This window comes from Homo sapiens, chromosome 13 (assembly GCF_000001405.40).
Source record: "Homo sapiens chromosome 13, GRCh38.p14 Primary Assembly".
Classification (NCBI taxonomy): Eukaryota; Metazoa; Chordata; class Mammalia; order Primates; family Hominidae; genus Homo; species Homo sapiens.
The window spans coordinates 20455652-20477180 of NC_000013.11; the positions used below are offsets into that span (position 1 = coordinate 20455652).

The following is a 21529-nucleotide window of genomic DNA, read 5'->3' on the forward strand; positions in this document are numbered from 1 at the left end:
CTGTTAACACATCAGTTCTCCTGAACTTGATGTACTGATTCACTGAAACCCCAATAGAAATCCCAGAAGTTTATTTTGTAGATATCAACAAACTGATTCTAAGATATGGAAGGCAAAGGAGTCAGAATAGCCAAAACCATTTTGCAAAAGTAGTTGGATGACATAGTATCTAATTTCAAGGCTTAATATAAAGCTATAGTAATTAAGAGAAAGTAATATGGGCACATACTGTTACACTGACACATGGATCAATATTATATAAAGAGAGCCCAGCGATAGATCCATACAAATCTAAGCAGCTGATTTCTTAGAAAGATACAAAGATAAGTCAATGGGGAAAAGATAGGGTTCAACAAATGGTGCTGGACAACTGGGTTTTCACATGCAAAGAAATGTAACTTAGTATATACCTTATATTTTCCATGAAATTAATTCAGGTGGATCATAGCCATACATGTACAATTTTAAACTATAAATGTTCTAAAATAGAAAATCTGTGAGGCCTTGGGTTAGGCAAAAAATTTTAAGAAATAATACAATGACCGGATGCAGTGGCTCACACCTGTAATCCCAGAACTTTGAGAGGCCGAGGCGGGCGTATCACCTGAAGTCAGGAGTTTGAGACAAGCCTGGGCAACATGACAAAACCCTGTCTCTACTAGAAATACAAAAATTAGCTGGGGTTGTGGCACAAGCCTGTAATCCCAGCTACTCAAGAGGCTGAGGCACCAGAATCTCACTTGAACCTGGGAGGTGGAGGCTGCAGTGAGCCAAGATTCCACCACTGCACTCCATCCTGGGTGACAGAGTGAGACTCCGTCTCAAAACAAAAAAAAAAAAAAAAAGAAAAGAAAAGAAGAGAGGCGAGGCAGGAGGATTGCTTGAGCCCAGGAGTTCCAGGCTGCAGTGAGCTATGATCTGTACTCAGGCCTGGGCAAGACCACGATTCTTAAAACACACACACACACACACACACACACACACACAAAGACCACGATTCTTAAAACACACACACACACACACACACCCCAGAATGCCCTTCTTAGCAACCCCAGCTCTTCCTTCTCTTCCTAGCCAGCTATGCTCCTGTTACACGACCTGCCCACCCCCCACTCTTCATGGCCTTTCTGCACCTTCCTGGGTGACCCAGCACAGGGAAACTCTGGGAGAGAGTGGATATGGAGGAAGAAACTCTGAACAGCAGAGGGAAGTCAGATGAAGGACCAGCACCAGTCATCAGTACTTTGCCTCTCAGCTGCACACCCACGCTTCTTTGCCCTGCTTTGTGACAGTAGGAGTCTGGTGGGATGAAGGGGCTTCCCTTCCTCTCTTCCTGGGCTCTTCCAGTGCAGACTGCCAGCAGGATATGAGTGCACTGGCAGCCCAGCTCAAGGATTCCAGCTTCCAGTCCCAGCTTGAGAGTCCCAGCTTACCCACCTCAGCCCAGCCTCTGTGGTCCAGCTCTGGCCCAGGGCAGCCTAGAGAACAGGAAGTCATCCTCCATCCACTGGACCACAGCCTCGGCCCTGGGCTGTGACCCCTCCAAGTCCCATCTTTCCTTGGTATTCTCTCTCAGCCTTAGGGTGTTCTTTAGTGTTCTGTTTAGAACACTAAAGTTAGAAGTTAATCCCTTATTACCAGTTAATAATTTTTCATATTAAATTTGCCCTGTTCCAATTAATGGTGTGGTTTCTGTCTCCTGGCATGACCTCCACCAATACAGGAAACAGGTGTACTCACCAAACTCACTGGCTAAAAATAATCCTGGCCACACCCTAATAATTAATGAGACTTCAAGATTATCCTGAATGTTCATTCTAAACCTTTAAGAATCAATAACTGATGTGGAAATGAGGTCAGATGAAATACAGTACTCATTCGATTCCAGAAAAAATTACGTAAAACATATCACCAAGCCTGTGGTACTTCATGAGAAGTGTTTACTTTTATCTCAGAAAAACAATACGACAATAGCAAAGCTTCGGTGTCATAAGACAAATCTGGATCTACCACTTACTAAACATATAAACCTGGTCATTCAGCTCCCTAATCCATGAAATGGGAACAACACACCAACCTCAAAGGACCAAAAGCTGTGGCCCACTTTGCTGGGCTTGTTCTGCACCAGGCCCTGCTCCAAGTGCTGACATGGGCTCGTTTAACTTTCACTCACTCACAAGATGATTGTGGCCACGGTTATTATCTTCATTTCACAGAGGGTGAAACGGAAGCACAGAGAAGTCATCTGTGCAGTCTATCCAGGTACTCAGTGGGGGAAGGAAAAGGTGACCCCGGCAGAGCCTCGAAAGCCAGGTTTTCAACGTTAGGGAAAGTGATTCAACCAGTTCTAAAGGTCTTTGCACAGAGTTATCAAAAAAATTGGTTCTATTCATTTACCAGCCAACCACAGGAAGAAAGCCACATCACCAAATAGGTCAAGGGTTAGATAATACTGTATGTCATCTATTCTAATTTGCACATTTTTTCTCAATGTTTCTGAAATTGGAAGATGTCTTACAATCAGTAGCATCTTAGATAAGATACAATATAGCACAATCATAGACAATTCATTAAATATGTTCCCAGACGTTTAAAAATAAATGTGCTAACAAAACCACAATAGACTTCTCTGGGCAAATTTTTGATCAAAGGTACAAACCTAAGTAACAGGAGTGGTTATTTCCCTTTAAGCAATAACCAAAAGGGCAGGTCCCACCCCAAGAAGAATTAAAACAGGAGCTTGACTAATTCCTTTCTGGAGCCGTGGACCCTTTGAAATCTTAACATCTAGACCAGCATCCAACAGAAATATACTGTGAGCCATACATGCAATTCTAAATTTTCTAGTGGCCGCATTAAAAAAGTAAAAAGAAAATGCTAACCTTAATTTTAATAACATTTTATTTAACTCATAAACTCAAATATTACATTTCAACATGTAATCACTATTAAAAACTATTGAGATATTTTATACGCTTTTTAAAAATAGTAAGTCTTCAAAACTCAGTGGGAATTTTACACCTGACAACACATCTCAGCTTTGACCAGTCACATTTCAAGTGCTCAAAAGCCATGTGGACACCAAATAGTGCCGTTCTGGACCCAGATTTCTGCAGCAGCCTTATGCCTTGTGCAAATCTGGTGCCAAAGCAGTCAGCTACATCCATCTGACCAGCAGTTACAACAAAGCAGAGTAGAATCTCTCAAAAGCTACATATTAAAAATTTCATTCAATTGTGCCCTTTTAAAAAACATTTTAAAATACAGACATTGGGAATACTTATACACTGCTGGTGGTAATGTAAATTAATTCAGCCACCACGCCTGTAATCCCAGCACTTTGGGAGGCCGAGGCGGGCGGATCACAAGGTCAGGAGATCAAGACCATCCTGGCTAACACGGTGAAACCCCGTCTCTACTAAAAAATACAAAAAATTAGCTGGGCGTGGTGGCGGGTGCCTGTAGTCCCGGCTACTCGGGAGGCTGAGGCAGGAGAATGGCGTGATCCCGGGAGGCGGAGCTTGCAGTAAGCCGAGTTCACGCCGCTGTACTCCAGCCTGGGCGACAGAGCGAGACTCCATCTCAAAAAAAAAAAAAAAAAAAAAAATTAATTCAACCACTGTGAAAGCAGTCTGGAGATTTCTCGAAGTGCTTAAAAGAGAATACTACCATTAGACCCAGCAATCCCATTACTGGGTATATAGCCAAAGGAATATAAATCATTCTACTATAAAGACACATGCACAGGTTACATTTACCACAGCACTATTCAAAATAGCAAAGACATGGAACCAACCTAGACGCCCATCCATGGTAGACTAGATAGAGAAAATGTGGTACATATACACCATGGAATACTATGCAGCCATAAAAAAGAATGAGATTATGTCCTTTATAGCAATATGGATGGAGCTGGAGGCCATAATCCTAATTGAATTAACGCAGGAACAGAAAACTAAATACCAGATGTTCTCACTTATAAGTGAAATCTAAACATTGAGTACACATAGACACAAAGAGGGGAACAGACATTGGGGCCTATTTAGGGTGGAGGGTGGGAGGAGGGTGAGGACTGAAAACCTATCAGATATTATGCTGATTACCGGGTGACAAAACTATCTGTACACCAAACCCCCATGACATGCAATTTACTGATGCAACAAACCTGCATATGTACCCCTTGAACCTAAAATAAAAGTTGAAAGGAAAAAGAAAGAATAAAAATACCGACACTGTAACAAAATCAAACACAGGAAAATTATCTGAAGTAGAAAGTGAGGGTCTGTCTGCTTTCCTCCTGCCGATTCAACCTTCGCTGTTAAACACTTAGATCTTTTTTTCCAGTTTATACAAACACATATACAAATGATTTGGAATTTTTTTCTTTAAACAAAAATGGTTTCTATTTTATATCTTGTTCAGCAATTTGCCCCTCACCCTTAATATCTCAAAAACACCTTTAGCAGCTGCATGCACCCCCATGGATGGATGTGCCAATACTTAACCATTTCTTTATCTGCAGGCCTTTAGGTTGTTTCCTATTTTTTGTTATGACCAACAATACTGTGATTTAATCCTTGCACCACATTACATATATATGTATATGTGTGTGTGTATATACATAGATATAAATGCTGCCTCCATATATAGAAAGAGTCAGCATTTTTGAACCACAGATTACTACAGCATAGAAAGCGATAGTTTATTTTTCAATTACTAATTGCCAAATTATTCTCTTAAAGTTGGTACCAATTTACACTTGCAGGACAATGTAGAATATCCACTTCACCACAGCCTCAACACTGGGTGTTGGCTCTTTAATCTTTGCCTATGTCAGAGGCAAAAATAATAGGCAGCTGCTTTTTTTTTTTTTTTTTTTTTTTTTTTTTTTTGAGACGGAGTCTCGCTCTGTCGCCCAGGCTGGAGTGCAGTGGCGCTATCTCGGCTCACTGCAAGCTCCGCCACCCGGGTTCACGCCATTCTCCTGCCTCAGCCTCCCAAGTAGCCGGGACTACAGGCGCCCGCCACTACGCCCGGCTAATTTTTTGTATTTTTAGTAGAGATGGGGTTTCACTGTGTTAGCCAGAATGGTCTCGATCTCCTGACATCGTGATCTGCCCGTCTCCGCCTCCCAAAGTGCTGGGATTACAGACGTGAGCCACTGCGCCCCGCCGGCAGCTGCTGTTTTCTAAGAGTTAAGTAATTTGCTAATTTATTGAAAAGTGACATACATACAGAAGAATGTATATAGTAAGTGCACAGCTGGGTGGGTTTTCACACAAAGGGCTCGTGTAGGCAGCAAGGAACCCTTCCCAGCGGCGCCCTCCCCTGGGCCTCACGGTGGGGATCCTCCCTCCCCACCACAACTAGGGTAGCCGCTGTCTCCACTTCCACAGCCAGCTGTAGTTTTATTTTTTATTTCTCTAAATGCTACTGAGGTTTATCATCTTTTCACATGCACACTGACTCTCTGGTTTTCCTCTTCCTGAATTGCTGGTTCCTATATTTTGCCCATTTTTCTACTGGGGCATTTGTCTTTTTCTTACTGAGTTATATTTTTTAATATGATGCAGACACTGCAAACATTTTTCTTGGTCTGCTGCTTATCTTCTGATTTTGTAAATAGCACCTCCTGCCCCACAGAGGTTCAATGTTTACAAAACCAGCATTTGCTCATGGTTTTTATATCTCACTTTGTGAGGTCCTCCTACTTCCATGTTTTGGGACCTATGCTATCTTCTAGAACATTTTAGTATTTCTTAGATGTCTTCTTATTTAATCCATCTGTGTTTACTTTTTTCATGTCTACTTTTATATGTAGTATGAAGTAAAATTTATTAATCTTTATTAAAAAGACCTGGCAGCTCTGGATACCAATCTTTCTTTAGGCAGGAGGCTCCAGAGCTGGGGTGAAGGCTGGCACCACAAAGCAGGCAGCCACGGTCTCACCTCCAGCAGCTCAGAACCAAGTGGAGAAACGGCCAGATACACAAAGCCACAACACAGCATGACTCACCCCATCTCAGGATCATGGAAACAACTTGGGGGTGGGAGAAAACCTGATTGATTCTGGTGGGAGTGGGGCAGGAATCATTCACCAAGGCCTCCCAGAAAGAAACACTCTTGAGACTGGGTGTCTAAGGTGAACAGAATGTCTCCTGAGAGAGGAAAGCAGTACCCAGAACTGCAGAGGTGCCAAGCCATCTTCCCAAGCACAGGAGTGCTTTTGGGCCTCCAGGGGCTCAGCATTGTGGGAGGAGAGGGTGGGAGGAGGACAACCTTGTGGGAGGGATGGGGTGGGAGGAGGAGGTGGGAGGGCAGCCTGGGGGAGGAGGAGGCGGGAGGACTGCCTGGTGGGAGGAGGGGTCAGGAGGACAGTCTGGAGAGAAGAGAGGGTGGGAGGACGGCCTGGTGGGAGGGATGGGGTGGGAGGACGGCCTGGTGAGAGGATGGGGTGGGAGGATGGCCTGGTGGGAGGGATGGAGTGGGAGGAGGGCCTTGTGGAAGGGATAAGGTGGCAGGACGACCTAGTGGGAGGACGACCTAGTGGGAGGAGGGGGCAGGAGGAGGGCCTGGTGGGAGAAGGAGGCAGGAGGATGGCCTGGTGGGAGGCCCTGGGGGCGCCCAGGGGATGGCAGTACAGATGGCTGTTAGGACACCATTTCAACACTCATACAATAAAAGCAATAACCAAATCTGTTGCCTGAAAACAGAAACAAAATAAACTATGACAGGTTTGAGCGTTACCCTAAAGGAAGCTCTGGAATCCAGCCAGGCCTCTTAGGAAGAGAACGGTATTTTAATTGACTTGCCAGTGTGAATATTTTCTTGGCAGCCCCCATTATCTAGGATGCCATTACATACCAACACAAGCCATTTAGCAGCCTGCGTTTAAAATAATAACTAAGTAGTTGTTTCACTCTTGGCCATATTTCCAAGGAGAGATCACAAGTTTCATCCATTTGACTTTGTTTAGGCCTGTGGCTACTGCCTAAATGTAAAGCTCTCATCGGAAGGGCAGTTTACCTGGAGCCTTAAGTTTGGCACTTCAGCTTCGGGGGAGGGGCTGCTGAGTTTGTTGTCTCCTAAAGCAGCAGGCATACGATGCAGGTTTTCCAATACCTGCAGGAACGGTACCATCCCACTGCCTTAATGATTAGCCAAACGTGCCTAAATTGTACTTAAATGTGAAAAAGCACAGGCAAAACTGTTGGCATAAGAAACTCTAAAAGTCAACCATTATCATTACTAGTATCTCCCAGCAATCCAAACAGTACCTGGTACGCAGCAAGCACTTTATATGCCTTTTCATTTAACTCTCAGAGTAAGCTATACTTACCTTATCCACATTTTGTAAATGGAAAAATCTGTTTTACAAGCTCGTGTAACTAAGAAGAAACGGCAGCAGAACCCGAAGCTGGGTCTGCCCACCTCCTGAGCCTCAGTGTGGACGCCTGCTGGCCTGCTCCCACCCGTGCAGGCAGCCCAGAGGAGACCTGCGTGTCGCACCTACCAGGCAACCTGCACCAAAGGCCTTTTAGAAAATAAACATGCTTTTATCTCTACAAAAGTAATATATGCTCATTGTCAAAAATTTAGACAAACCTCAACCAAACTCCACCTCCAAGAGATGACCAGTATTGATGCTTGAGTTTTTTCCCAGTGTCTTACCTTGAAAACACAGATCACTATACATGCAGGCTTGCAGTCTTACTCCAAGTAAGATTAAGACACATAGTGATTGATTTTTCTCCAGAAAAAAATCTAAGACTCCTTCTCCTCTGGTATGTCACTCTAAAGGAAGCCAACCAGCATAACAGTCCCAATGACTTCTGTCTCATGAGCTTTTACCCTCATCCTCCAATAGACTGGAGAAATTTTATCACCCCCTTTCTGAACTAGGTGTTAAACTGATTTATTGGAGAGACTTCTCAAAGGCAAATGTGACCCATGTACTTTCTAAATTGAGAGCCTCTTCCTGCCCTTTTTTAAACAAGGACAGGTAGCTAGCTCGGGGTCCCACACAAATTGAAACCATGACCTATCATTTCACATTCAACAGATTGGAAAAACTAAATAATCTGATGATACCAAGTGCTGAAGAAGATATGGAGAAATGAAAACTCAATACATTTAGAAATGTATAAAATGACACATTTTGGACAATATGACATTATTCGAAGATGTAGTAGTACCGAAAACGCACAAATCCTGCAAGCCAGAAATGCTGCCTGTCTACGTCCATGCAGAGGAGAACCCTCAAAAAGAGGCTGCAGAATGCCCGAGGGAGAGCCACTCTACACAAAAGCAAGACATAAAAATGAACCAGGTGTCCGTCAAATGGGGGCTGTGTCAATTGTGCCCATTCCTGTTAACCGACATTAAAATAAATAAAACTAACATGAATAAAAAGGTGTTAATGTGTCAATCAGACCAGATCTCAAAAAGCATATGACTGAGTAAAAACAAGCAAATTGCAAAAATATAAACATTTCCATATACATAAATATGTTCGTTATACAAGTTACATGCAGGAGTTCAAGACCAGCCTGGCCAACATGGTGAAACCCTATCTCTACTAAAAATACAAAAATTAGCTGGGTATGGTGGCACGTGCCTGTAGTCCCAGCTACTCAGGAGGTTGAGGCAGGAGAATTGCTTGAACTCAGGAGGCAGAGGTTGCAGTGAGCCGAGATTGTGCCACTGCACTTTAGCCTGGGTAATAGAGTGAGATTCTATCTCCAAAATAAATAAATACAATACAATAAAATAAAATTTAAAGCATACAAAATAGTGTTACTGTTATTTTCTGATTGTTAGAAATATGTACTAAAAGTATGGACAGAAGGAGACCCATCAAATTTGTGGTAACGGTTGCCTTTAAGGAGGAAGAAGGAGGAGAAACGGTCTTGGGGAGCGCTTCACCAGGAATTTCAATAATTAAAATCTATTTCTGTGTGATAATCAGACATTCATAACTTTTGGCCATCTTAATAGTGGGCTGTTTGTATCCTTCTTCATTTGTAGCAGTTATTTATACATTAGCCTTTTGGAATTTTTTTTATTGCTCTCAATGTCTTTCTGATCTGCCATTTGCTGACTTTGTTCATTGCATCTGCCTCACAAAAGTGCATTCATCGCAGGTAGATTTGTCTCTTTTGCTTTAGATTCCATTTGGTGTCAGAAAAACCTTTAAAACTTTCAAGAATATAAACACATTCCTTCAGGACAAAAACATGCTACACACAGCCGCCTTCGCCATATCCCTGAAAGAAAACCTCTGCACCTTTTTCAAAGCAACTTTGATGATGCTTTCTGACCATAAGTCCCTTGACAGGAATCCTTTAGTCAACTAAAAAGATTCTAAATATTTCAGGTTAAATTTGCTCTTATTTTTAGAAAAGACACACCAACAACTCCATAGTAGTTTAAGTAGAGGAGCAGAATAATTTCTTTAGCAGTCCTGTACAAGCACTGTAAGGCTGGACAATATCTCCAGCTTAAGGGATATCAGACTTTTAAATATCCCAACTATTCTCTAAGCATGCCCAGAAGTGGCCTAAAGGACAGATAAACAAGGTTTCGCAGCAGGCAGCAGGGAATAGCTTGGGACTAAGCAAAAAACTAAACTGAGTCACGAAACCTGCAACTACTCCCCACTCCCTGCTGAGTGACTCTGGGCAAGTCACTTGACCACTATGATCTCTGCACATCAGAGAAACAAATAACAAACTTTAAGCAATGAACCGAAACACAAGATGTCAAAGGTGCCCTAGGGTTGGGCTTGGGCAAAAAGTTCCTAGGAGCACCTCAGGAGTAATTTGGAGGTTAGGTTTCACTTTCTCCACTATGGAAGGAAAGAGCCATGCACAAACAGTTGGAAAGCGTCACTGCTGGCTCTTGGAGAGGACAATGACAATTAATCCTGAGCAAGGGTAAGAGAAAACAGAGGCAGGCACCGGTCACCCTGCAGCTTGGCAGGCTCCAAAAGGGTGGATTCATGCCACTCCCGAATTCTGCAGTATTGTTTTGAAGATCTTCCTCTTGGCAAAGACCTGGCCCTGAGCCATAGAGAGTTTACCAGAATGCTGGCAGCAACAGTATGACATGCTCCTAATGTTTGGATATTTGATCCTCCAAATCTCATGATAAAATGTGATCCCCAATGTTGGATGTGGGGCCCAGAGGGAGGTGTTTGGGTCATGGGGGTGGATCCCACATAAATAAATTAATGCCCTCCTGGAGGGGGGCTATGAATGAGTTCTTGCTCTATTAGTTTCCATGAGAGCTGGTTGAAAAAAAAAAAAAAAGCCCATCACCTCCCTTTTCTCCCTTTCACCATGTGATCTCTACACACATCAGCTTCCCTTCACCTTCTGCCATGGGTGGGAGCAGCCTAAAGCCCTCACCAGAAGCCGGGTAGATGCCAACACCATGCTTCTTGAAGAGCCTGCAGAACCAAGAGCCAAATAAACATCTTTTCTTTATAAATTGCCCAGCCTCAGGTATTCCTTCATAGCAACACAATGCACTTGGATATATGCCTTTTTATAGGCATGGCCTCGCAGCCTTCCATACGCCCCAATCTCCAAACAGAGGGGATTAGGAATTCTTAAACAAGTGTTAAGGTCCACAAGAAATAAAGGAAAAGATGGGTAAATTTGACTGCATTGAAAAAATTTTTAAGTATGTACATAAAAGGACACTATAGACAGGGGCAGCTGGCAAAATGTGATCAGATATTAAAGGATTTAGCATCTAAAATTTTTAAAGAGTTGTTATAAATCAGTGAAAGAACCATTAAAAGATTTTGTTTAAATGGGCAAAGTGTACAACAGATACTTCACATCCACACACACGCACGCACACACAAAGCAGAAGCAGCTCAAATACACAAGCCCTTGAATAATCAGGGAAATGCAAATTAAAAGAATGAGTTATCATTGCATACATATCAGACTGGCACAAACTTAACTGTCTCTCTTATGGTTCTGGTGAGAAAATAAACTGGTATATTACTTTGGAAAACTCTGTGTGTGTGTGTGTGTGTGTGTGTGTGTAGTTGAAGTTGCACCTGCTACATAAAATAGTGAGTCTATGCTTAATTACAAACCCTAACTATGCACATGAATGTAAGAAGAGATGTACAGGAATATGCATAACTGCACTCTTTATAATTCAACATTTTTGATAATATTTATACATCCGTCAACAGGGAAACAGATAAATAAATTGTTTAATATTTGTATGAAACACACCAATGAATGAAAACAAGTTGCAGAATAAGTCACACAATATAACTTTTTTTTTTTCTGAGACGGAGTCTCACTCTGTTGCCCAGGCTGGAGTGCAGTGGTGTGATCTTGGCTCACTGGAAGCTCTGCCTCCCGCGTTCACACCATTCTCCTGCCTCAGCCTCCTGAGTAGTTGGGACTACAGGTGCCTGCCACCACGCCCGGCTGATTTTTTTTTTTTTCAGTAGAGATGGGGTTTCACCGTGTTAGCCAGGATGGTCTCACTCTCCTGACCTCATGATCTGCCCACCTCGGCCTCCCAAAGTGCTGGGATTACAGGCATAAGCCACCACCCCCGGCCCATACAGTATAACATTTAAATAAAGTTCAAAACCCCACAGTACTATGCTATATATTATTTACAGCTGCATAAACATGTAGTAAAAAATACACATAGAAAGTATAAATGACAAAGTTCATGTCACAATCCCTTGTGGAGGAAAGAGAGCTATAGCAGGGACCTGTACTTGTGAATTTTTTTTTCTCCTTAAATTGGATGGATATACATGAGTCGTCACTATATTATTCTATGAGTTTTTGTATGTCTAAAATATTTCATTGAAAATGCTATGAGGTTCACTTTTAAAATATCTGGGCCTTGCGTGGTAGCTCATGCCTGTCATCCCAGCACTTTGGGAGGCCGAGGCAGGCGGATCGCCTGAGGTCAGGAGTTCAAACCCAGCCTGGCCAACATGGCGAAACCCATCGCTACTAAAAATACAAAAATTAGCCGGGCGTGGTGGCACGCGCCTGTTGTCCCAGCTGCTCGGGATGCTGAGCCAGTGGAATCGCTTGAACCCGGGAGGCAGAGGTTGCAGTGAGCCGAGATTGGGCTGGAAAGATAAACATGAATACTTCAACACAGGGGTCTGCAACGCCCGGTGCCTCAGACTGGTACCGGTCCCTGGCCTGTTAGGAACCAGGCCACGCAGCAGGAGGTGAGCCGTGCGCCTGAGCTCCACCTCCTGTTAGATCAGCGTGGCATTGGATTCTCACAGGAGCGCAAACCCTGTTGTGAACCTCACACTTAAGGGATCTAGGTTGTGCTCTCCTCATGAGAATCTTACAAGCGCCTTATGATCAGCAGTGGAACAGTTTCATCCTGAAGCCATTCGCACCTCCCCCAACCCCCACCTGGCAATGAAAAAAACTGTCTTCCACAGAACCCATCTCTGGTGCCAAAACAGTTGAGAACTGCCGCCTTAACAGAATTATTCTCTTTTATTCTGGGTCTTTCTGTAATTAAACATGTAACCATTTGAAATTTTTTTAAGGCGTTAAACATGCCTACAATTTTCCAGTTTTGCACTCTTCTCCAACTCAGCTATCTCTTCTAAACTTACTTTTTATTTTAGTTTATTTTTAGAGACAACGTCTCCCTGTGTTGCCCAGACAGGACTCAAACTCCTAGGCTCAAGTGACCCTCCCAACTCAGCCTCCTGAGTAGCTGGAACTACAGATGCATGCCACCACACTCAGCTCAAAACTTACTTTTTTGTTGAAGTCGAACTTAGCTATTCAATTATCTCCAGCATTCAACAATCTACCAGTGACCACAGTGGGATTCATTTCACTGACCATTAACTGAACAAAGAAGAAGCCAGCTTCGAAGCCTTCTTTCTAGAGACACTGATATCACCTTCTCCCTTTACCTAGTTTTTGTTTGTTTGTTTGTTTTGAGGTGCAGTCTCGCTCTGTTGCCCAGGCTGGAGTGCAGTGGCACAATCTCGGCTCACTGCAACCTCTGCCTCCCGGGTTCGAGTGATTCTCCTGCCTCAGCCTCCTGAGTGGCGAAGACTACAGGCATATACCGCCATGCCTGGCTAATTTTTGTATTTTTTAGTAGAGATGGGGTTTAACCATGTTGTCCAGGCTGGTGTCGAACTCCTGACCTCAAGTGATCTACCCAACTCAGCCTGCCAAAGCGCTGGGATTACAGGCGTGATCCACCATGCCCAGCGCTCCCTTTACCTAGTTTTCTAGCATCTAGTGCTATGAGTCGGAGAGCGATCACCTTAGGCTTCCTGAAACAATAATGTGAGGTAAGAAGTGGAGAGTGTCGACGTCAAGCTCCGCTCCCCTGGACGGCATCCCTGTTACAACTCCATCCACCGTCAGCAGTTTCTCAGGAAGTGTTAAGTGTCTACCATAGATACGACCAACAACTTACTTTCTGGTGCCTTTTGAGGGCTTTATGATTAAAATAAGTTGTGGAAGTCTAAAAACATATAGGCCATTTCCTAAAGCAGATGGACCACCACATAGGAAGATGTCAAGGAGAAAAAGCAAGTTCAAACCTAGGACTTTCTTTTCAACTTCTTTGTTCACATAATTCAAACCTAGGCTCAACAGTCCTTTATAAACACAAATTTACTTTCATCTTTCTTCTGTAAATCCACAGACAAAACAAGCAATGTTTTACACCTCTGAACCTACAATAGGATTTTAAAAGCTACCAGGAAGCCCTTGAGAAGTTCAGGTCTGGGTCAGCATATACTTTATCATATTTACCAGTCAGGATGCTTTCAGCTACGTGCAATCTAATTTAACCCACCTTAAACAATAAAGAAATGGAGTGGCTCACATCACAGAAAGGCCAGAGGCTGGGAGGGACTCGGGGTTCAATTAACTCAGTGGCTGGGACTTTTCCTTCCTCTAGAATTCTCTTAGCTATACATTCCTTCCGGTATCTGTTTATTCTCAGGCTGGAAGCAAGATGCCTGTATGACCTCTGATCCCCACAGCCAAGCATGACAACGTTTAATTTCTTCCTATGGCTTGCTTAGGAGAAGGAGGAACCCAAAGCCCCAGGAAACCTGTCAAAGGTCTTGGCTGAGCCAGTCACTCATCTCACACCAATGTCTGGCCCCATGGGAAGGCTTGCTGGCAAAGCACTGGGCTCCCGATGGACTACGACCAGGTAAGCCCCTCTCCTAAAGCTGCAGCCATTAGATTATACCAAATGGAATCTAATAAAAATGAAGTGGAAGGATGGGAGGGACACAGCATTCATGCCAAATCTTAGAAGTTCAGGACTAAGTTCGCTAATTTACGCCTCAGGGTCCTGAAGAAGACTATCGACAGTGCGATCACCTGGAGTTGGGGTATAAAGCTACACCCGTCCTCCCTGCAAAGCAGGCTTTCTTCTTCCTCAAATATCCCAAGACCAGCAATACATTCAGCAGCCCACTGTTGCCAAAATCAAAGTCTCATTAAAAGAGAAGAGAATCAGCTTTGGAAGGGGCAGCAGGACCTCCCTTCTGGTTCATGGAAAGCCTCTGCCCCACTGCCGCGACTCAGGCCTGGCCCCGGGTGCAAGTTCAAGCACAGCCTCAAGCACTGTTCTGTTCACAGTGCATAGAATGTGCTTCCCCAGAATGCAGGCAGCGGCCGCTGCAGGGAAGGAGACCACACCAAGCTCTCCGGGCTGCCAGCACTGGGAAACCACAGGGAAGGCACCAGCCCTCAAAGGCGCTGAGCTGGACAAGAGCAGTGACATCGTCCAATCTTCTGAGGACTTTCTATTTTTCCAGAGACTGACACAAAAAACCAGTTCATTGTTTTCCCTAACAACAGATGAGAACAGAAAGGAAGGGGAAGCAGATTTTGAATGGTGACATTTAAACCCAAAACTTCATTCCTCCCAGAGTCTCAAGACAAAAGCTATAAAAACCATGACCCGGCCAGGCGCGGTGGCTCACACCTGTGATCCCAGCACTTTGGGAGGCCGAGGCAGGTGGATCACCTGAGGTCAGGAGTTTGAGAACAGCCTGACTAACATGGTGAAACCCTGTTTCCACTAAAACTACAAAAAATCAGTTGAGCACAGTGGCAGGCGCCTGTAATCCCAGCTACTCGGGAGGCTGAGGCAGGAGAATCGCTTGAACCCAGGAGGCAGAGGTTGCAGTGAGCTGAGATCGTGCCACTGCACTCCAGCCTGGGCAAAAAGAGCAAAACTCCATCTCAAAAAAAAAAAAAAAACAAAAAAAAAAACCCATGACACACATATGAAGAATCTTTCTTTAAAAAAAAATAAGAGCTTATAACCTCTGGTCTGAGTTTCACTTAATGGAAAGTATTCTGAACAAAATTATTCACAATACATAGAAGTTGTCTCAGCCATCAAAAAGGTGTCAGAAGAGTGAAATAATATCAAAACAAATGAACTGCAGTACGGGGGTGGTTGTGTGTGTTAGCGTAAATTCACGTGAAAGAGTATGACGTGGCTATTACGGAAGTGGCTATGGGATTATGAAGCAACATGGAACACTTACATTAAGTAACTTCTTCACTTTGATGACAACTGTGTACTAAAGCAAACAAAAACATGTATATGAAAAAGACAGGCCAGGCGCGGTGGCTCACGCCTGTAATCCCAGCACTTTGGGAGGCCGAGGCAGGTGGATCACGAGGTCAGGAGATTGAGACCATCCTGGCTAACACGGTGAAGTGTTAGTTTTGTATTGTTAGTAGAGACTGGCTAACCCATCTCTACTAAAAATACGAAAAATTAGCCGGGTGTGGTGGCGGTCGCCTGTAGTCCCAGCTACTCGGGAGGCTGAGGTAGGAGAATGGCGTGAACCCAGGAGGCTGAGCTTTCAGTGAGCCGAGATCGCACCACTGCACTCCAGCCTGGGCGACAGAGCGAGACTCTGTCTCAAAAAAAAAAAGGAAAAGACAAAGGAAATGCAAAATTGATGCTAATGGTTACATTAGGAAACCAGGTTTCTAGGTGCTCCTTCCCACTTTCCTATTAATAATACAGTCATCCCCCGGGATCCATCAGACACTGGTTCCAGGAACCCCATGGATGCTAAAATTCGAGGATGCTCAGGTCCCTGATTTTTTTCTTTCTTTCTTTCTCTCTTTCTTTCCCTCTCTCTCTCTTTTTCTCTCTCTCTCTTCCTTTCTTTCATTTTTTTTTTGAGACGTAGTCTCACTCTTGTTGCCCAGGCTGGAATCTGGAATGCAGTGGCATGATCTCAGCTTACTGCAACCTCCGCCTCCCAGGATCAAGCAATTCTCTTGCCTTAGCCTCCTGAGTAGCTGGGATTACAGGCGCCCACCAACATGCAAGGCTAATTTTTGTACTTTTAGTAGAGACCGGGTTTCGCCATATTGACCAGGCTGGTCTCCAACTCCTGACCTCAGGTGATCCACCCGCCTTAGCCTCCCAAAGTGTTAAGATTACAGGTATGAGCCACCACATCCGGCCCAAGTCCCTGATTTTTAAAAAATGGCCTAGTATTTTCATATCACCTGTGCACATCCTCCTATATACTTTAAACCACCTCTAGATGACCTATAATACCTTATACAGTGTAAATGCTATGTATATAGTTGTTATACTGTATTGCTTAGGGAACAATGACAAGAAAAAATATGTACATGTTCAGCACAGACACAATTTTTGCCAAATATTTTCAAGTCGTGGTTGGCTGAATCCACGATGCAGAATCTGAGGGAGGGCAGCTGTCATAGCTCACTCTTACTACAGGCATGGTCTTCTAAGCACTACGCATCGTAGCCATTTCCTCCTCAATACAGCCTTAGGGGGTGGTTTCTAATATTATCTCCATTTTATAGATGAGAAAACTTGTTTTCTAAGCTTCCTGTAAAAGTGCTGGCTGTGCCCTCCTAACGTACGGGCAAGGCTAGCTAGAGTCAAAGGTTCCTCCCAACCACTGCCTTTACCTCTAAAAAGATGGGATTCTGATAGCTTAAGGACAGCGCGTGGCCCTCTGAGGCCTGGGACTGGCTCACTGGGGCAGGCCTGTCACTGGAAGAAGCTGAGGTTCGCAGGGTGGGGATTCGCTCTGCTCGAACACCTTCTGCATCTCCCAGGTCCCAGACAGCTGGAACAACACATGGATGCTGGTATGCTGGGGAGAAAGGAGGCACCCCAGGAAATCACAGGACTTTGGCTGGGGCCAGGGAGGGGAGGGCAGAGGAGAGAGGTCAAGGAGTGAAGCCCGTTGTGCTCTCAGTGTTTGTGAGGTGCAATCGCTTTTTGGACTCACTTTTGGGCCTCTTCTTGCCATCGGGATGTTAGGATTTGGGGGTCCAAGATCCAGTCTCTTTGGTGGAACGGGGGTGGAGTGGCCAGTGGAGCAAACTCGAGTGCCCGTACTGCTCAGAGAGACAGTGAGTGAGTTAAAGAAGGTGAGGTAAAATTAGTCTGCAATCTAATTCTTGTTTTCCCACTTTTGATTGAAATAGGAATTTAAGAAATATTTCGCTTTCCTCTCCACTTACAGCGTAAACAGTAATGTACAGCCACGAACAGGAGCCGGCAGGAGTGGCGGGGAGACCCGCAGTCCCACTGTGCGGCACCCACATGCTGCTCACTGTGGCCGGAGCGTCGGACTTTAAGGAGCTGTGAGACAGCTATATTTTATGTGGAAATTTCCAGACTTTTAAACATCAGTGAGTCATTCAAACAAACAAATGAACAATTATTTTTAAAGCTGCACATGGCCAGACTCGGCCCCTGGTACCAGCCTGAGACCTCTGAACTGGCCTTCAGCTAGAAGAGCCAGAGGCAGCCTTGTGATCTCAGCGGACCTGGCCAGAGTGGGTGGGCGGGCGCCAAGGATGGCGCTCCAAAGTAGAGGGCACACTTGGATGCCAAGGTGTCTGTCTGGGGCTTCACGGAGCCCACCGTCCTGGCCATCACAGATAACATGGTGTGCTTCACGAAAGTACAAACAACGTAGAAGGAGCCCGTTGGTGAAAGTGGGGCTAGGTACTTGCAACACAGGTGTAAAAGCTGACGTTACATCCCACCCAGAGCAAAACAAAACAGGAAAAGCAAAAACAGTTCACTTAAGACTCAAGATAACTCATTTTCCATTTCTCTTTTCATCATGATTTATACAATAAAACAATGGCTCTCACGGATTCTAACGTCTCAGGAAAGTACCAAAAACACAGCAAGTGAATCGGGTATAAGTAACAGGGTAATTTAGTTAACATAGCAAGTGAATCGGGTATAAGTAACAGGGTAATTTCATTGAGGGTCACCCACATGGCTATTAATGACAGGCATCGGCTTCCATTTCTTCTTCTCTGAAGAAGGGGATTCCCTACCTCTGGGCTGGGAAGGGGACAGACACTGAATAAAAACATCTGGGCACAATGAGAAAGGCATGGGCACGTCCTGAATTCCACAGAGAGCAGCAGCTAGAGCTCAACTATGGCTCCTGGAAACTGTTCCACTTAAAAGCATACAAGAGTCAGAATCTTAAGATGCTGACAATATATTTTTCATAATTTCCTCCACTTTCAGCCATCATAGTGGCCTTTAAAGGGCTCACTAGGTATCTCGGAGGAAACCTCCGGTCCGGGACCAGCGCCGGCAGCAGGCAGCTCTCACGCCCACCTGCCCTGTCCCGTCCCCAGCCGTTGCTGCATAGGGATGGGATGTAGGCTTCCTCTAATATCTGAGCTGGGAGGAGAGAGCCATATTCCACAAGCAACAAACCGGTAAAGCAACACACACTTGAAAAATTTTGTGTCGCCCTCAGAAGGCTTACCAAGAGCCAGTCAGCCCCTATTTGACAAGATGCATAATTACTGCATGGAGTTCCTGTTCATGTAAGTGATTGTAATTAGTAATATTTTTCCACAGCCAAACCAAGTATTTCAAGGGACAGCTTGAGGAAAAGATGAGAGGATACCTTGGGAAGAAATAAAATGCTCCTGGCCCCTCAGAGGCAGCGGCGACTCCCAAGCTGCTCACACTCAGAGTGCTCCTGGCTCAGCTGTGTCCAGGGGGACACACACAACCTTCCTCTCCCCTCCCAGGGCCCTCAGCCAATGACCAGCCCAGAAAGGTTTGCTGGAGAAACCGTCACCTGCCTGGACTTGCCCCAGCCTCCTTTACTTTCAGTAAAGGGAAGGAGACCATTTGGCCTTAACAATCTTGACCTCCTCAACTCTGGATCTTGTGATTCAGCTCCCAAAGTCTCAGGGACAAGGCTCCCCTGCCTCAGGGTCAAGCAAGCTCCGAACTCTTGGTCCATCCACTCTAGCTTCTAACAGCCCAGCATCTGGACCCGTGCGCAGCCTCCTTCACCCTCCAACACCCGGAACACAGGGCAGCAAAGTCCTCTCGCGATGTCCATTGCCCAGAGTGGCGAGTCAGAAGTCAGCCTCACAGACAGGATGGCCATCACCAGGCTACAGGGACAGGGAAGGAGCAGACAACTGGACAGGGAGGAGGGAGCCATCCGCCACCTCAGGAGCACCGGGAAGAGGGCCTCCCCGCATTCCCAGACCCCATCACACCCCGTGTCTCTCCCTCCCTGGCAGGGGTGGCAGGCATGCAGGTTCCAGCTGGAGTCCAAGCGACCTGGCCCAAAGGCTGATTCCACCTTTGGGCTCTGGGGTGAGATCTTTATCCTGTCATTTCTAAACAGATAATCCATTCAGTCATCAACAAATGTTTATTAAGTTCCTGCCTCATGCCAGGCACTGTTTTAGGTACTGGAAAAACAGCAGTAGATAAAGCAATCAAAAATATTCCTGAGGTGTGCAGGCAAAAATGATTGGGGGTGGAGAGTGGGTATGGCATGGAATAAATACTAGCACCCACTTTACGGGGGTGTCGTGAGGACTGAAGTGGGTCATTTTGTGTTAAGAGTGTGGCACAGGACCTGGTCCATGGTAAGGGATGGATGCACAGTAGTTCCCATTAGCTGCGGGTCATAGGCCAAGACTAAAGAAGAGCCATATCAGCCTCAGGAGGCCTTGGGAACAGAGGGGAATCACCTGATGCTGTGCAACTGGCTCTGGCCAGGCTCAGAGAAACCAGGGACCCTTTCAGCGGAAGATTCCCACCCACCACCTACCAACTAGGATGGCAAGATAGCAAGTGCCTTCAAACGCGAGCAAAGCAAGAAGCAAAAGGCCGCAGGACGAGTCCCGGTGACATATCCACAAATCACAGGCAGAGAGCCTGTTAAAGGAAGGCTGTGTAAGTGTACTCAGTCAGTGGAAAGTGGACTTGCTCCAGGAAGGCCACAGCCTCATCCTGGCCTGTGTCACCTGCCCCACGCACACGGCAGTTCCGGGGCAGGTCCTGCGCACGCGGCAGGAAGGAAGGAAACCACAGTAGGTCTCTCAGAGGAAACCACAGTAGCAGCCTCCTCTGCCAAAACAACAGAAATAGCTACTCCAGTGTCCCAGGTGTCTTCCCACACACAAATGTGCAATGCGATACTTGCTGAACGCCAGGGCCTCTGAAAGGCAGGAAGGTAATTAGCTGGGAGTGGTGGCATGTGCCTATAATCCCAGCTACCAGGAGGCTGAGGCAAGAGAATCACTGGAACCCGGGAGGCAGAGGCTGCAGTGAGCCAAGATCGCGCCACTGCACTACAGCCTGGGTGACAGAGCAAAACTCCATCTCAAAAAAAAAAAAAAAAAGGAAAAACGAAAGGCAGGAAGGTCTCTGCTGGGCAGCAGGGACTGATACAGGTCAACCAGACCCATAAGAGGTGAAAGGCCGCCCCTTGAAAGAAACCTTTTGATTTCCCCCAGTGGTTCAAACAGACTTACTGGGCAACAAGTCTTTGAATATTGACTTTCAAATGAAAATAAACACAGCAAGGCAGCTCTGCGTCAGCAGATATGCTCCCAGCGTGCTGATACCGCTAGGTGAGCAGCAGGGAGCCCAAGCCGGAAGAAAAACATGCAGCAGGGCCAGCACCGAGTTCTGCAGGTGTCCCTTACTTTTCATTAACATGAAGCTCCCAGATTCCCGCTTATGCCTCATACCTCTTAAAAACGCAGGCTCAGCAGGGCGAGGTAGCTTATGCCTGCAATTCCAGCACTTTGGGAGGCCAAGCTGGAGGATTGTTTAGGCCCAGGAGTTCAAGACCAGCTTGGACAACACAGTGAGACCTCGACTCTACTAAAAAATTACCTGGGTGTAGGCCGGGTGCGGTGGCTCACGCCTGTAATCCCAGCACTTTGGGAGGCCGAGGCGAGTGGATCACGAGGTCAGGAGATCGAGACCATCCTGGCTAACATGGTGAAAGCCCGTCTCTACGAAAAATACAAAAAATTAGCCGGGCGTGGTGGCGGGCGCCTGTAGTCCCAGCTACTCGGGAGGCTGAGGCAGGAGAATGGCATGAACCCGGGAGGCAGAGCTTGCAGTGAGCCAAGATCGTGCCACCGCGCTCCAGCCTGGGCGACAGAGCGGGACTCCGTCTCAAAAACAGCAACAAATAATT

General features: G+C 45.6%; 1 protein-coding gene across 3 annotated transcripts in view, besides 2 other annotated features; it reads right to left on the bottom strand.

The window, feature by feature from the left end:
• Positions 1-21529, bottom strand: part of CRYL1 (crystallin lambda 1) — a 122189-nt gene that overhangs the window by 51983 nt on the left and 48677 nt on the right. The gene's annotated exons all lie outside the window — the stretch shown is intronic.
• Positions 20455-20654: an enhancer, noted in NCBI's record as "active region_7422". NCBI's record gives its function as "activates an Ori minimal core promoter by ATAC-STARR-seq in GM12878 lymphoblastoid cells {active_cell/tissue: GM12878}" and the evidence as "EXISTENCE:reporter gene assay evidence [ECO:0000049][PMID:35858748]".
• Positions 20725-20774: an enhancer, noted in NCBI's record as "active region_7423". NCBI's record gives its function as "activates an Ori minimal core promoter by ATAC-STARR-seq in GM12878 lymphoblastoid cells {active_cell/tissue: GM12878}" and the evidence as "EXISTENCE:reporter gene assay evidence [ECO:0000049][PMID:35858748]".